This window comes from Homo sapiens, chromosome 6 (assembly GCF_000001405.40).
Source record: "Homo sapiens chromosome 6, GRCh38.p14 Primary Assembly".
NCBI lineage: Eukaryota > Metazoa > Chordata > Mammalia > Primates > Hominidae > Homo > Homo sapiens.
The window spans coordinates 102,055,186-102,073,114 of record NC_000006.12 but is presented as its reverse complement, the minus strand read 5'-3'; the positions used below and the strand labels follow the sequence as shown (position 1 = coordinate 102,073,114).

Here is a 17,929-nt window from a genome sequence, read left to right as displayed (position 1 = left end):
AGTTTTTCTTTCTTTATCATAAGCAGGTTGCTAAAATTAATAAACATCTGAAGAAAACTCCTAATATGAAAGACAGAAATCTAACTAAGCAAACAGAATAATGCGACTGAAAGGAAACATCTTTTTGGGAAGAAGGGAATGTCAAAAGATTACCAGTAATGTCTTCAAATATGTAACATATATCACAGCCATAAAACAAGAACTCATAGAATTTAAATCAGTTGGGCAGAAATGAAAAACTCAACACAATATTTGCAAGATAACAATGAAACAAATGAGAAATAGGAGAGCAAAAATAAATTTAGATTCAAAAGTTCAGGAATTCCAATGTTAAAAGAAACCGAGCTGTTTAAAGTGAACAGAGAAAGCAAAGAAATAGTGCAGAAAGTTTTCCTAAAACTGAAATTTTAAAAATCAGCATGAACCCAGGACAATGAATCAAAGTAGATACATGGCTATGATTGGTATAGTTCAGGATGCTAAAGATAAAGAAAAGATCATACAAAATTAAGAAAGTTAATATTTTAAAAATTATATACAAAGAATCATGGATCTAACTTCAGGTTTTCTGCAGTAGACTGATAATAAAAAAAGCAACAGTAGAATGCTTTCAAATTTATCCAGGAAAAATATTTTTTCAACTTAGAATTCTATACTTAGTTTCTATACTTAGCAAAACTATTAATTATTTATTAGGGTATAATGAAAGCATTTTCAGACATGAACTATCTCAAAAAAAAATTGACCTCAGTCACCCCTTCTTTAGAAGACACCAAAAATAGAGAGTAAATGAAGGAAAGGGAGAACACATGTTAGAGACATCAGGAGATTCACCATGGAGAGAGAAAAAGGGAATCACCAGAAGGTGAGAGAGCTGGGAGGAATCTTGCATTAATAATTGTGCTGCAGACACAGAGGCCTGCCTATCAGTCCATATTGAAATAGTGTGACTAAAATTACAGATACGCTGAGGACTGTCATAACCAAAGTCCTCACTGCCATTGTACTATCTTTTAAACCCAAAGACAAATTTTGCAGCTTAGCCTGGCCCATATTATTATTCACACTTTGCTTGGTCACAAACTGGTGAAGTTCTTCTTGTACCTTTCATACCCTGTTCTCTAAAATGACTCGGTACTCTTTTCTCTCTATGGAAGTATTCTGCTTAAATTTATATCTGAAAGTTAGAAATAAGCCAAAATAAGCCTATAATCTGAATACATGGAACAGCCACAGCCCACTTCCTCTGAACAAGTACTTTGGGACCACATTACAGTCAGGTGCCATGATTCTGTTGCACACATGTGTTGTATACATTCTTCTATATATTTTATAATAAACACGCATTTAAAAGTATTGTGGTGCTAAAAATTCTTTGAAATAATTAGTGCTTTATACATACACCCATTCTATAATAGCAATAAGGACATCATACTTTAAAAATATAACTTAGTTGCAAAGTATTTAAAACACTGCAATCAATAAAATATTATCATCCCTTTTACATATTTGTAAAATAATATATGTCCTCTTAGTGTTCCATAGTGGTTAGGGTTATCAGCTATAAATATTTAAATATCTCTTTGGTGTTCTCAGAGTGGTTCAAATTATTTAGGTATGTTAAATGAGAATATAAATCCTCAGTGTTTTCATCCTGATTTGGGTTATTTAGCTGTGGCTTATGTGCCTCCATTGATGACCGAGAGTTTAAGGTTATGTTGCTGATTAGAATACGTGTCCTCTTCCTCTCTCTTACAATTTCAATGTACTTCAGAGAATAATGCTTACTCAAATATACTGCCTTCCCAGAGAAGAGATGCTCTTTCAAAGTTAAATTTTACTTTAAAGGTAATTATAATTTATTGGAATTAATATTAGTACCTCATATTGCATAAGCCCCACAGTAGAAAAATATCTGTTTTGGCAATAATGTAGATACCTTTTAGGACATTGACAAAAAGTAATACTATACATTGTTTATATATTCTATATTACTTGAAAAGTTGAGGGCAGCAGGTTTTTTACACTCTTCAAAGTTCACTAATTTAATTGAATTAAATAAATGTCAAATTTTTGCAAAAATTTAAGTAACTATTTAGTGATTAATTAAACATAATTAAAGTTGTCATTTCCTGCCTATCATTTAAGATTGGATAATACAATACGAAACTGATTTTTAAAAGTGCTTTAAAGTCTAATTAGAATCTGATTTATAAAAAGCTTAATATTATCCAAAATCTGAACATTTTTATGAGGTATGTTATTTGAGGATATTTGCCACCAAACCAATGCTGAGATTTTTAGCAGTGCTTTGTGCAACTCTCTAAAATTATATTTTGAGATAATTATCATTGACATATGAATTTTAACTTAAAATGACCATGAGACTAGAAATTTAGAAAACACTTGGATATTTAATTTAGATGTCAGGCACTTTGATTATGCAACTTTTGTGAGTTAAAAAATACTTCACAGAACTTCTTATTTTTTTCTTTCTGTCAGTGGTTCTGATTATAATTGTTTTGCTTAGCAAAATATATGTTACAATTTATCATTTTAAAAAGTTCCTATTGGTATGTGAACATCTATGCCACATCATCACTAAGTGGAATATTAGACCTATCTCTTTCTCTGTTTTATGCTGAATTACATTAAATTATCAATGTGCAAGGAATTATTAAATAGCATATGAGTTGAACTTTAAATGTTAGTGATCACTGTACAGTCTTATACAACCTAACTTACAAAGTCAATATCCTCTCATTGAAAAGGTAATATCATGTCTGTCACCTCTAGAACTACTGTTTGTCTTATTTTAACTGCTCTGAACTTAAGATTACTTTTTATATCCCAGTCCAGCTTTTCCAGATCTGAGTAGGTCCTCCCCCAAGCATTTTTCTTCTTTTCTTCAGGTAGTTGGGAAGTGGCCATCCTTGATGATCTAGAAATATTTAGGATATGTGCTTCTCTTAATGTAAAGAAGTATATGGTGCATTCATTACACATACAAGAGAAAAATGAAAGACAAAGCTGAAAGTAAAATGAACATAGTTTTAATGATTTTTTTTAATTTTGTGCATTGGATTCAAACAGCAAACTGTGTGCACTCAACTGTTATCACAATGTTGTCAAGAGGTCTGTGTCTTTTACCATTTTACACACAATTGTTCATTACAGTATGTTGTCAGCCTCGTGGAAACCAGGGGTGTGGCATGGTAAGCAGTGGTGGTAGTGCACCTAGCTTTTATATTATCTAACTTGAAAATATTTCTCTTCTATGATTCCTTTTTTCTTGATAAAAATAGTTTTCACCAAACGTTGGTGGTGCACACGCACTACCATTCATGCTTGACATCACACCCCTGACAGGAACACATGTTCTTGTTTTGTTGATAAAAAGTATTACAAAAATTTCCATACAAAAACTATTTTCATAGAAATCTTGCATTTCCACAAATAAACCTGAACATTTTTTGAAAAAAAACTGTTCAAGAATTTTGTTCATTTAACATTGTGACTGTATTGATAAACGCAGTCCACTTCCAAGTTCTCTCACAGATTTTTCTATAGATGACCAGTCCCCTTTCTCGTATCACTGAAATCTGCCCATGCTCCATCAAGTTCATTTACAGCAGGAACAAGGGTTTGGATTGCTATGTCTGAATGTTAGAATGAAAGCTTTAGTCTTCCACACAGCCAATACTCGGCCAGTTTTTACAACTTGAACATTGCAAAACATTATCCTTTTAATTCAGAATCACTGAACCAACTGCTTTTATTATTATTATTATTATTATTATTATTATTATTATTATTATTTGGGATATGGGGGTTAGAGAAAAGGTGTTGGGGGAATAGGAAGGGATCTGGTAGAATTGCATGTTAAATCTTCTGCCTTAGGGAACTTAAGAAAACATTATTTCCTTGATAATTGGCATTTCTATCTCAATCAGTGACACAGACTGTCAAAAAAAAAAATAAGAAAAGAAAAAAGGAAAATAAGTGATGAACATCTGCTTTATATTCCAACTGCCATGGGATTCAAATTTGTTTTGCATTACATTTTTTCACATCCTATAAACACATACTTTGCATTCAGACAATAATTATACTGAGTAGTTGGGGGCTAGTAACATCATCACCTCTATGATCTGGGTGTTCAGAAGACTGTACTGTTTCCTGTAACACTACAGTTTTTGCTGATTCCAAATATTTATATTCTTAGTGACACTTTTATTGGTTGCCCTGTTGGGCATTGATATTCCATCTCCTGGCAACAGTTGAGCTTCAAAAGGAACCTGTAATTTCTCACTGGACTGCATTTGAAATCAGCCACAAAATGCGCATGTTAACATTCACTCAGAAGAAGGGAGGAACCCATGATTAACAGTGTAACCCCGTGTAACTTGGTTGATCCATGATGCTTGTAAATCAAGTCTGATCATTGCAACTGCTTAGATCACAGAGTCTCTAGTTCATAGACACAGCGGCATGAGGTAACTCATTTTATTTTGCACAGGTTGCATATTTCCACAGGAAACATTCTGGCTAAATTGTTTGGAAAAAGACGACAGTTTGTGCTTGGGTGTTTGGCCTCCCAGCTTTATGCCATGGTTTCTTTACCTGGCAACCTTCTGTCGTTAAATGTGTGCATGTTGATAACTTCTTCTGTTTTCACAATAACTGGGGCCTGTGGCTTATGTTTTAACCGACGCTGGCACTTCAGGGACATCCTCAATTCTTCTACCATGGCACTACAGAAGGACCTCTACAGAAGAACACAGAAAAATTAAATATTACAAGATACATAAACTGTAACTGTCCAAGATCAATATTAAAATCATCCTCAACAGACTTGTCACATAACATCCTTGAAGGTTTGAAAATTTTCATTGTAAAAGTTATAACAAATGTCACACTTTAAACACTCAACCCATGATAATTAAAATATTCTATAAAAGTGGGCTAGTTTAAAGAAAATCTCCACCCGATACTGAAATGAACAACCAGCTAGTAATGTATATATTACACATATATTAAATAAAATTTTCCTATGACATTATATAAAAATGATTAGCATGACATAGACATCTACTTTAAAATTTAAATACAATGACAATTCTATACCAGAAACCCATTCTTGATACAAAAAAATAGACAAATCATACTACTTTTCAGATCACAAGATGAGATATGCAAATGTTGTTTGAACATTGATTCTTCATTGTACATCTCAAAACAAAGATAGCACTCACACAGACATAAAATATGGAAAACAATTTCTGGCATTTCATTATGTCTTTTTTGTGATTATGCCTATAGAAACATTGACAGTGATTACAAACAAATATGACTTAATCATGAAATGACAAATTATAGCATGTTAGACATCTACAAACAAATATTAACTTTTTTGTCATCATTAGCTTGATAACTGAGAGCTGATAATTTATCAAATGAGAAAAAATATGACCCTATGTTGCTTTTGTCTTAGTTCCCATCTCATTGGAAATAGATTTGCTAGAACCTCTGTTTATCTGGGGCTTATTGTTACAGCTCCTCAAAATTTATATTGTAGAGTCATATATATGAAACAAAATTTTGTTAGTGTCTCTCCCCAACTGATTGAGATACATGTGAAGACTTATTTGTGCGTTAGCTGCTTTATTGATTATGAACTTAGACTATTTCTAAGACAACATGATGAAAATATTTAAGACCATATGTGTGTCATTTTCCGATACATATTTACAGTTAGGCAGGAAGAAAAATTTCAAGAGCTCTGTTCCACAGCATGGCCACTATAGTTAATAATAATATATTATTGAAAAGTGCTAAAAGAGTGAATAAGTGTTCTCATTGCAAAAATAATAAATATGTGAGGTAATGCATTTGCTAATTAGACATATCTAACCATTCCACAATGTATATATACATCAAAACACGTTATATATGATATATACATACAATTTTATATGTTAACTTAAAAATACATTTAAAAAATTGTTTTCATAACAGTTTGTGCCAGTCTAAACATACTTTGAATTAATTAGGTATCTGTGTGTCAGAGAAAACTGATTCAGAGAGAGGTTGGATAACTTTCTACAGTTCACACCTAAGATTCCAGCAACATATCCTGATATATCTAGTTTTATGATTTTGACACTGCTCTATTACCTTCCTGTCAATCTCTGGCTATATCCTAATTTTCCTTTGATGGACTCCTTAAAGAGTTTCCTTAATGGTCTTCCTAATTCTACGTCTACGCCACTCTTCTGTAAAGGTTCACAATTACCCGGATAATCTATTTTTAAAATATCAATTATTAATAGCATTTTCTCCTTTAGGAAACAAGTCAAACTCAAATCTATTATTTTTTTCCATCATGACTTCTCTGATCTAGCCCTCTTCTCCCTTCCCCACTGCTTCCATCTCTCTCTCTTTCTCCTCACACTCCCTTTATTGGTGGGACTTCCATTAATATTTTTCCTTTGTTTCTCCTTGTTCTGGTACCCTGCTGAGTTCTTTCATCTTTCACATCATCCCAACTTTATCCCCTACCTCAGGACATGGCTCAAGTTTTAACTTAATTAGGAAGCCCTTTCCACTTGACCAGGCACATTCTTTTGTTTTCACAACTTGATTTTGTTTTATTCTGTCAGTATTTTCCACTCATTATCCTGTTTTTCTGTCTGGCCTGCCAGTGCTCTATGTATCTCTCTCCCTGAATTGTGTAGAGCAGAGGTCAAGTTCTCACGGCACTGCTTGTACACACATAAGCTCTTTAAATGTTGATTGAATTAACAATAGATACACAGGACTCTAATATTTTAATTCTTATTTAACAATGTTTCTAATTCAATTGCTTAAAAAATTTTCAGGTTTAGAAACCTAGTGAAAATATATTGCATACAATTAATTTTGCCTAATAAAATTAGGCAAAACTTTAGCATTTGTTTAATAACATTAAATTAATAAAAATATTAATATATTAGCACTTGTAATGGGTGATGATTAAATGTGACTTGTGAATTCCCCATTAACTACAGAGTCATTGCCATGCATTATGTATTATGTGTTAAATTATGCAGTTCTGCAATTCATGAATTATATTTCTATTAAAGGATTTATGTGGCACCTGACAGCCAGTATATGGAAACAGTGTTTCTTGTTGCTTAATACCTACTATTAGATGTACTTATTAAGAACATGATGATAATGATGATGAAGATGGTGATGATGACAACACTGTAGAAATGGAAACTGACTCCAAAATAGGGAGGAATACATAGTCTTGAGGTAACTTAGTCTTGGCTCTCTGTTGAAACATTTAACAGAAGAATTAATTAGATGACATAACATGGTCAAAACTTGATCCCGTTGACATTTAAAATTGTTATAGGACGTGTAACATTGAATCGTTTGAAATAAACCTTCATTTAAAACCAATAAATTTCCCAAATCTTCAAAAATTTATGACACCTTCTTCTTGGCAATCTCAATTTTCAGATATTTTGGTTACATTACTTTCAAAACAGAATAGAGTATAAATGTTAATTAATAATTTGCCTATAGTAAGGGAGTAGGCTAAGTAACTAACTTTCTTAGGAAAAAATCTTACACATGTGCATACAAGCTCAACTATGAAATGACTCAATATTATTTCTAGCAATTTAAGAGGTAAACTCTGTGTTTAGTACCCCATACTTACTTCAGACTACAAATAAGAACATTTAAAACCATTTTAAGCAATTTCATATAATATTAAGTTTATATTGCTGAGTAATAGATAATGTAAATTGAAAAAAGCCCATTCTAATCAATTACCAGAATAGTATTATCTTTTATAATTTGAAATTGTCTTAAATAAATTATATTTACAAATTTTACAACTATCTCAAAATTGTAAACATGTAAATCACCATTGTCGTCATAGACTTTATTTAGCTTACAAAGCCATTAGAAAGTAAAAATTTAATCAAGCAATCTTTCATAAGTCAATCAATGGTCTCGATTACATAATGACAAAATACAAATTTTATTAATTTTCTCTTTGAATAAGATGAATTTTGCCAGCTCTTTTGTTATTTATCAATGTAAGTTTACATGAAAAATAGGTTTATTTAGGTTATTGATAAAGTTACTGTGAGACGATAGGTTCTTTTCTCATTTGTAGAATAATTCTAACCCATTTTAAAACTTGATAATCTTTAGATTTGAGCAAGATTTTACAATTAACATGGCAAATTAAACAAATTCAAGGATATCACAAAGAACTGTTCATTTATGGTACTAGAGCAAATATACATTCTTTTCTTTTTGTTTAAAGGTTTACAAGGCAAATTCCATATCTTGATTTATATAAGTCTCTAAAGCTGAAACTATACAGAGTTTTGTGAAATATAATTGTTTCCCTGTGCTGTACATTGCCCAAAATTTACTGTGTCTAACTTTTAAGTAAAATTCTAACGTATTATCATTAAGTAGAGACAAATTGTCTTTTATACTTTATATAATGATTGAAATTTATTTTAAATCTTTTTATTGGACTATGAAATAAGTCTCAAAACCCAAGTGCACTAGGCAGTAATTTTCCTGGTTATACTAAAAAAAGAAGAAAGAAGAAAAGAAGTGGAGAAAGAAAGAGAGAGAGGGAAAGAGAGAAAGAAAGATGGACAGAGAAAGAGAGAAAGAAAGAAAGGAGGGAGGGAGAGAGAGAGAGAGAAAGGAAAGAAAGAAAGAAAGAAAGAAGGAAGGAAGGAAAGAGGAAAGGAAAGAAAGGAAAGGAAAGGAAGGAGGAGGAGAAGGAGAGGAGAAGGAGGAGAAGGAGAAGAGAAGGAGAAGGAGAGGGAGGAGAAGGAGGAGAAGAAGAAAGGGAAAGCTGGAGGGAAGAAGAAAGAGAAAGACAACTATCTTGCTTTTAAAATCACTATTTAGGGGTGGAAACCCACGCACTGTGTCATTAAATAAGGTCAGTTCCTTAGGATGAAAACAACAATAAAAATGTTTCTCCACATTAATATAACAGACTACAAAAAGAAAAAAGAAAGGCACAAGGATACTAACCATTATTAAAAACCTCTTTTAGTAAGTTTCAAAAGATTACTAAACAGTGTCTGGATGGTATGGTGGCACTAACCAAATAGAAGATTCCTGAAAATGAAAATTTAAATCTTTGAGCTGTTAGCATGTATAATTGCATTTAAATTAGTAAAACTCTTAATAAAATTCATTATATTTAATTAGTCAATTTATATTTACACATCTCTAATTCTTGAAACAATGTAGATCTGGAAATCTTGATAGTATGAACTTGGCCATATTTACATTGCTTTTTTATAGAGCTTTTTTTTTTTAAAGAGCTCTATTTTGTATTTTGGATGTAATAAGAAAATACATAAATAGTCCACAGGTAAATGTTTTCAAGAATATCATTGTTGATGTTACAGAATATTTATTCTTAAAAGCTTAACTTCCTAATTAAAAGATATATTTTTATAATAACATGATGTGACAGCATTTGGAGAAGCACAGATTTCTTTTTATATTAGAAGTGTAGTTGAAATCATGCTCCACATTGATAATTGACATATGTAGCTTCATTTTAAAGTTAAAACCATTATGTTTAGCAATATACTTATTTTTGAAAAACAGTATCTGAAGAAAAATAACCAGCATGATTTAACTTTTATGCTCATCACTCTCTTTTTGAATATATGTATTCATTGGTCAAGAAATATCATAAAATATGTTACTTTCAAGCCTGCATTTAGTATTTATTTTTAAGGAGGAAATCCTATTTTGTGTATCTCGCTGGCCTAATTTTGATAGTATAAAATAACTAAATGATATTTTAGTATTCATTCAGAATAATTCCTAACCATTTCTACATACAATTTCTACTTATCCTACTTGGAGCCTACCAAAATTTGAGCTACTCCTATCAATGGTATCTATAAGATACTATTGTACCTCAGTGGTCTAATATATTCTAGTACATATCAACCAAACTTTTATTTTGTGTTTGTCATTTAAATTATTTGTTAACTAATTATGGATATACTATATATTCTTAGACACTCTCCAATTAATTTCTGACTCTATAGGCCATTTGCCCAAGAATAGTAAGTCACATGTAGTGGAAACAAATCAAAACAGTCACTGTGATTAGTTGCAGAAAATTATTCTACCACATTAGATAATAATAATAACTAAAATGGAAAAAATATTCATAGGATATAAGATATAATATTTTACATAATATTGGTGTGTTAAATAACAAAAATAAATGTCATTTAATGTGACCCGTTAAATTTTTTCTTGTGAATATAACTGTTTTGATTGGCAGCCTTTTAAAAACATCAAACAGTTAATGCTATACATCAGAAGTATGAATTGACCTAAGGCTATATGAATATAACAGTGAAGCAATGAAAGATGGAAAATGACTGGCTAAATCACTCATGTTAAAAAAATATATACAACCTTGTTCTTGATATTTGGTTTTAGAGCAGCTATCTTTAAAAAAAAGTTTTATTATTTACATAAGCTATTCAGCAGTCAAAAGAAACTTTACATGTAGCATCTTTCGTGATCCTACTGATCACTGTAGTTTTATAGCTAGAAAAAATTAAAACTTAAGAAGTCAAGTTATATATCTAACTAGTCTCAGAGCTAAGACAGGAACTCTATTATCTTAACTTCCATCTATGAAAGCTTTATCATATTAGCCTGCCTTATTAATGATGATTTCATTCTCAGCTGAGCTTTTTACCTGGACTCTATTCTTGCTAAATGTAAATTTTTTGAATACTAAATTATACAGCAGACAGAAAAAAATTATGAGGGCAAAAGAAATACATATCTTTCTTAGTGAATTAAATTATAAATCATGTTATGCTTTAGCCTGGATTATTTCACAATGATAAACATTATCAAATATTAAAATATTCTCAGAAACCTTTACTCTAACAGAAACAGTTACCCAATATCCTCATATTGTATTTTGCAAACACAATGGGATGGAGAAAAATTGAGGATCATTATACACTTTTAAATTTCCCCTACTTAAGCTAGTTAAAAAAAAAAATAAGGTCTGACAACACAACTTTAATCAATATAGCTGTGAAATGCATTTTTAGAAAAAATAATACTAATCATCACATTTTTGCTAGTAGTCATAATGATACGATTTTTTTTAAGAGTTACATCCAAATAACTAATGCTTAAGCTAGAAAACTTTCTTTTCATAAGGTGTGGCAGTTAAAATGTATCAGCTTTACAAATAATAATAATGATATTATTTTTAAAAGAGCTGCTTGTTATAAGCCAGTTATGTGCAAAGAAGCCCTCTATGTATATTAACTATCTTAATTAATTCTTAAAACACCGTTTTTATGGATTCATAACTTGTTTATTCATTGTTTCATTTATTTATTTATTTAAAAAGAAGAATAGAGAGGCTAAGTAATTTTATCTAAGGTTAAACAAAGTTATGTTTCCAAGTCTTTTTAATTCCATAACTCATGCTTACTATCTAGGAAGGTGAAATTATTAGGCTGCTTATGACCAAAGCCCATAATCTGTTTATCTAATTCAAACTCCTAATCCATATATTTCCTTAGTGAAAAATTCAAGGAGGAAGAATAGTTAAATATTCTGCCTCCATTCTGTACAGCTTGATATGGTTGAAACACTGTTAGACTAGGCATCTTTGAACTTGGAAAACAACTTCACCCTTGAGATACTTATTATCCTCATCTGTACTATATAGATGATAATATTTACATGGCTCTTAGGGTAGTTTTGTATTCAAATGTGGTATTACACTTTAAAAACTAAAGTCATTTATAAAAATAAGGTGGTAAAATTATCTATTAAGCTATTATTTTAATTAAAAATAATTATTTGTGGGGATACAAAGAGTATGGGTTATCATAAACAAATGACCTAAAAATCCTTTAGCTGATTTGGAAGTAGATCAGTAAGCAAAATGAAGATTGACACCTCATTTCAAAGTACAGTATTTTATATTTGTATATCAAGACATTTTAAAAATTCATCCAATTAGTCATTATATAGATCATTCATGGAAATTGAAAGACACTCAGCTCTCAAAGAAAGGCAGTGATATAAAAACAATAAAAAAATTGACATTTGTCCAAAGTTTATTTATACTTTTTAACTTGTGAAGAACAAGTTAAAAAATTAATACATAAGGTCTGACAAGAATCAACACAACTTTAGTCAATATAGCTGTGAAACGCATTTTAAGAAAAAGTAATATGATATTATTATATAATTATGCTTTACAGCTATAATTTTTACACTGAAAATTTACTTAGAAATTTTAACTTCTGTAAAATTAAGTTCAGCTAAAATTTCTTACATCAAATGTAATTAATAAAAAGTATAGATATCTTATAGTTTCTAAAAAGGCATTACTGGGCAAAACATAAATATTGACATAACATTTTTACTGATAATTTATAACACTGTTTGCATTCCTATACCTTACCCCAAAAGTATATTCTTCTAAAAAGCATTGCTCCTGTTAGAACTAATTATTTAAAATTTTAACAGCAGCTTATACGTAGCTATCTGTAAACAACCTGTTTTCATTCTTCTGTTTCCATGAAATACAGAATTAGTTGGCTTTGCTACGTGTTTTCCTTATAAATGACCTTTAAAATAGGATCCCTAGTCTTGCGTGTTTAAACTAAACCCTCTGATTTTCTTCTTATCATCCCCCAAATTGAAATGTTTTGTTCATTTGTGCTTCTACTACTCTGATTTATAGCTGTATTCCAAATTGGTTATTCCTCTAAACACTGAAGAACATTCTATGTTCCCTCACAAAATGTTTTTGAACTATCAGTGCACCAGAAAAAAATATAATTATTTAGAGATTGTCTTAGGTAAAATTTGCCAGTGTTCTATAATAGAAACAGCTACATTGACCAAAGTAGACTATGTCCTAAAAAAACAACAATACCACATAGATTTAAAAATACATTTTAACCATTTTAAAGACAACAAAAATGTGTGTTCAAGATGGGACACCTATTGCACAAATTCAGTATCTGAGCAATAATTTATATATATATATATTTTATTTCTTAGACATATTTACTTAATTTACACTTAATAAGAAATGGAGTGCTTTTGGCTTCATCTTAAGATTTTTTTTATGTCAGGAAACTCAATAATTTATATCCAGACAGTTCAATAAAAACAATTTGTATAAGCAAATACATTTTCAAATACATGGGAAAAATATTCTTTCTATATACAAAACACACAAAAAGAGATCAAACTATAGAAGTTATGTTGCTGTTCTTGCTGAAAACCTAAAAAAAGAAAAATTATGTATGTCTGTTAAAAGTAGACATATGCAAATATTTAAGAAATGCAGAATTTTAAACAATCCATGTTATAAAAAGTTTATAAAAATTAAAATTATTATATCTTATAATTCTTGCTTACAAAGCCAACATATTATAAATATTATCAGAGAAAACAACAAAATTCAGTATATTAAGCAGCTTGTTATAGCCAAAAGTAAGTCTTAGAAGAGGGACACAAGATCTTTCAACCAAATCCATACACCCAAAGTGTGATAATTGTCTCAGATACACAACAGTTTCTTGGATTGCTTTCTCAGTGAAACTTCAGTAGAAATATCTTTAAAATCACAGAAGAGATAAGGCAAAAAGAAAAATAATTATAAAATGCATGTGTTGATTAGTTACCTTTTCAGACACATTCAGATGAGAAAAGGTTCTGAGTATTTTAAAAGTTTGAATAAATAAAAAGCAATGTGTCCTTGAGGCATTAATATTTACATCACAATTAAAGCCATTTTTTATAAAAATTATGATACACCATCTTGTGGTTATCTGAAAGGAATGCAATTTCCATTTTTAAATGCTTGAAGGTCCACATATTTCAGCTTTATTTTCTGTTTTTATTTTTAACCTGCCCTCATTTAAAAATGTGAAACTTTGCATATTAATCTTTATCCAACAACTTATGAGAAAGCCTATCATTATCAAGAGCTATTTGTTTTCACTAGTATTTACAATATGTATTATAAAAGGCATTTTATTTTCACCCATAAATTAATATATTATAATTTTATCATCATTAAAAGTAAGACTTAATATGGAAAGATATTCATTATTTATAAATTTTATTCACAAAGTTCACATTCAGCTAAACTTCATATATATTATATCTGACATATCTGACAAACTATTTAGTCACCAATACATTCGTGCTTTCCTTCAATGGGCAAAACACAATTCATTGTAGACTTATTTATCAATAAATATTTATTGAGTAAATAATGGATCTCACAAGTGTTTACCTTATTTTTGAAATATAAGACATCTAGGTTAAAGACACAATTATGATAAGTAAAAGTAAACTGAATTTCTGTATGTTCTCAAATGTATGATAAAATCTAGGACTATCGTATGGCTAATTTTAATAAATTAAGTAATGTGTTAAACAGCCATATAGATCATATAGACCAACCTAAATTTTCTTAAGAAAAATGAAGAACTGAGCCCAAGAACCTAATTTATCAGAATAAATAAAATGAATCATTTCCATTAAATCCATAATTATTTAATTTACTATTTTGAATTGTATAGAAAAATAATTTGTTTCTTTATGATACTTTTCTTAAAAAGTTACTGCAATCAACTTCATTCTTAATTTAAATGATAGGTAGATAGGTAGGTAGGTAAATAGATAGACAAATAGATAGATAGGTAGATAGATATTATGCCACCAGGCACTAATTGAGGCCTTGGAGATACAAACAAAAAATACTAGGTATTTGTCCTAACAGCAAGAAGAATTTAATATGTGAAAAGGCACCCATACACAGAAGCCAACAAACAAGAATACAATACTGTTAATGGGATAATGGAGATGTGCTTAGGGGTTCGCAGCGTGAAGATATCTAGACTTAATGCTGAAAATGGTTTGAAATGAGCAAAATACCTTCCCAGCTTTCTCAAAAGGAGATACATGTTTTTAGATTATGACAGTACCTGAAATAAACTAAGTATAAAGATGAGATATATGAGTCACATTTTTTTTCATTGCAATAGGAAATGAAAATCTACTTCCACTTCTTAGAAACAAGCTATGCTCTGTGCCCAAACCCATTATACCTTTTGATTAGGGAAAGCTTTCTGGGCAAGTTAATGTCTCATTTTAAGTGCCTAATATAAAATGTTTGTGAGAGTTTGCAAGGTAAAATAATAGACAAGATTTACTCCAGTCAAAAGGGAGAGTATAAACTTGGGAAATTGAGAGTTAAAATGTAGTGTGGCTGTAGTAAAGGTGCAAATTGGAGAGGAGCAAAAGATAAAGCTACAGCAGTGGACAGGGACAGGTGTGAAAGGGTCTCATCTGCTAACCTAAGGAATTTGGATTTCTTTGTGGCAGCTATGTAGAAACAGTGTGCAAAGCATTGTGAAGTGACTATAATGCTCATGTAATATCCACTCAGTTATTTCTTTCTAGTGCAATGTTAATGCTTCATTGTTTCCGTTTGAAAAGGTACATTAATTTTATTTTTCTAATTTTTAGAGGATCATATAGATCCATAGAATGTCAAGAGATCTGGGTAATATCTGAAAAATTCAACTAAACGTGTTCGTAATAACAATGAAGCACGATACGTTACAAAATTAAATCCTCGCATCATTTGTTTTTGTTTTAACCAGATACTTGTAAAACAAAACTGCACTAAAGATACGGCCTAGCTAAATCAAATGAATGGGACACATAGAGGTAAGCACAATAGAATACCACATATCATCAAGAGACTAATTCGTTTTACTTTAATACTGAGCTATAACTTAAAGAAAATTATTACATATGGATTATTTGAGGTTCCAAGTAGAAAACCCATATTTATTCTATGATTTTCATTCTTATATTACACATTAATGCCTTAAATACCACATTTACTGACAAATTAAACCTGAAATGATAATTAATGAGTTAATATTTCTTCTTTGGTTAGCTCTTTAGATTTAGTTTCAAAGTTCATTTTGACACTTTAAAAATGATTATAACATAAAAAGTGTACTTAGACACACAAATGCAACCAATATTTGAGTTAGCCAAGCAAGCATAAATAACAACCTGAATGTGTTGTGAAAACAAATCATGTTATTTTCTGAATTCTTCAAAAACTTTAATTTGTTATTTCAGTCATAGACAAAATGGGGTTATAAAAATATACATTTATGATAACATTCCTCAGTGTCAAGTACTGTAATCAAGCAAAAATGTACAAATACTGTATCCAAAATTCTGATTCCAGGAAGGATAAATAATTATGACATAAGTTATTAGAGATAAAGGAGCATTTTTATTTTCAAAAATATTTCTAAAGGTACAAACACTTCAAAGAATATTAGAAAAAATATTTACCTGGTATTCCTGTATGGCATTATTTTCAAAATACCTCTTTTTCGCTCTTTGTATTTACCAACTAAAGTTCATAAACCTCTTAAATATTAAAGATTATATCATCTCACTCTGCCACAGTGGTTAAAGTTAAGTCTAAAATATTGTGAGTTTCTTCAAAAACAAAAGAGATGTTTACATACAAAAGATTAAATAATGTACTAGAAGACTTTAAACTGTTGGTTTTGTCATATCCAGAGCAATGAATTTGCATACAAAAAGTATCATGTAGCATCTGAAAGAGTTATTTTCCTAGTCTTCATCATATTTATAAAAATGAGGAAATTATAGCACTAGAAATATAGAATCTGAATGAGGTGACAAACTTTTCAAGGATAATACAAAAAGCATTTATACAAATGACTGCATTCAAATGCAAAATATAGCAATAGCCTCAATATTTTTGAAGTTTATACATATTTTTAGAAGGACTCTGGTACAAAAAAACAAAGAACTGATTAAGAATACTATTAAATGGCAAAAAGAAACTATACTATTTTCACACACTCATTAATGTAGAAAATTAACTGTAATTTCTCCAGTGAAAGCTAATATCTTTCTTAAACTAGAAATTTATTGGACTAAAGCTATTCAGATAAAAACTTACTCTCTAACTTGAAACTGTTAACCCATATTGTATATAAAACCTCATTTTTAATCTGCAGAGTATTTTTTCTTTCATATTAGTTTCTAATTTTTACTCACTTAATTAACTGTATCTCATCATATACCACGATGAAATTCAAACAACAAAAGTTTATTTTTTAAGTCTGTAATAAGAGTAGAAATAGCTATTTTTCCTGAAGCTGGCTACAATTAAACATATTAAAATTAAATAAAAAATCATAAAGGTGACCATGAGTCTTTCTGTGAAATTTCACAAAATATAATATTTTGTTATGTAATGAATGACATAAGACAATTTAGAGCAATAGTTCTATGCATTATCATTAGTTGGTAACATAAAAACTCTTTTGGTTTGTGTTTTATTGTAACAACAAAAATTGTTTTAAATTTAAACTGAAACAAGTAACATTTACCTTTTCCAATTGAGCGTTTTTTTTGGATTTGTATAAAAATTCTCCCACTGCCACAAAAACTGAAAGCACCAAGCCGGCTGCCAGAACAATGAAGATGCCACCAATATTCTGAACCCCCAGGGCACTGGCCTCTTTGCTCTCCTCTTCTGGGCAACCATTGCCCCTCCACCATTTCTCCTTCATCATATGCAGTTTGCCTTCCTCTTGCAGCTGAAGAATTGCTATGGTAATTTTGTCTCGATATGGAGAACCTAAGAAAGGAGAGGTTATGTTAAGTATTTCAAGGAACCTGAAATTTCATAATTAAAGGTTAGCAAGATGAGAGGAGGGCAGAGATTTTTCAAAATGCTTCAAAGTGTGCCAATGTTTTTTCAGAAGAGAAAAACAACTGGAAA

The 17,929-nt window shown here is 30.2% G+C and overlaps 1 protein-coding gene across 6 annotated transcripts in view; it reads right to left on the bottom strand.

Annotated features, from left to right (window-relative positions):
- The window catches only part of GRIK2 (glutamate ionotropic receptor kainate type subunit 2), a 676,376-nt gene continuing 661,478 nt past the window's right edge, over positions 3,032 to 17,929 (bottom strand). For 3 of the 6 annotated variants that reach the window (XM_047418681.1, NM_021956.5, XM_005266946.5), the window contains 2 exons: positions 17,535 to 17,785; positions 3,032 to 4,768 (listed from right to left, as the gene is read on the bottom strand). In XM_047418681.1, the coding sequence (XP_047274637.1) occupies positions 4,604 to 4,768; positions 17,535 to 17,785 (416 nt within the window). In that variant the 3' untranslated portion in view covers positions 3,032 to 4,603. Of the gene's footprint in view, positions 4,769 to 7,186; positions 7,319 to 9,066; positions 9,154 to 17,534; positions 17,786 to 17,929 lie in introns of those variants that run through there. The other 3 variants (NM_175768.3, NM_001166247.1, XM_047418682.1) reach the window with 3 other exon arrangements.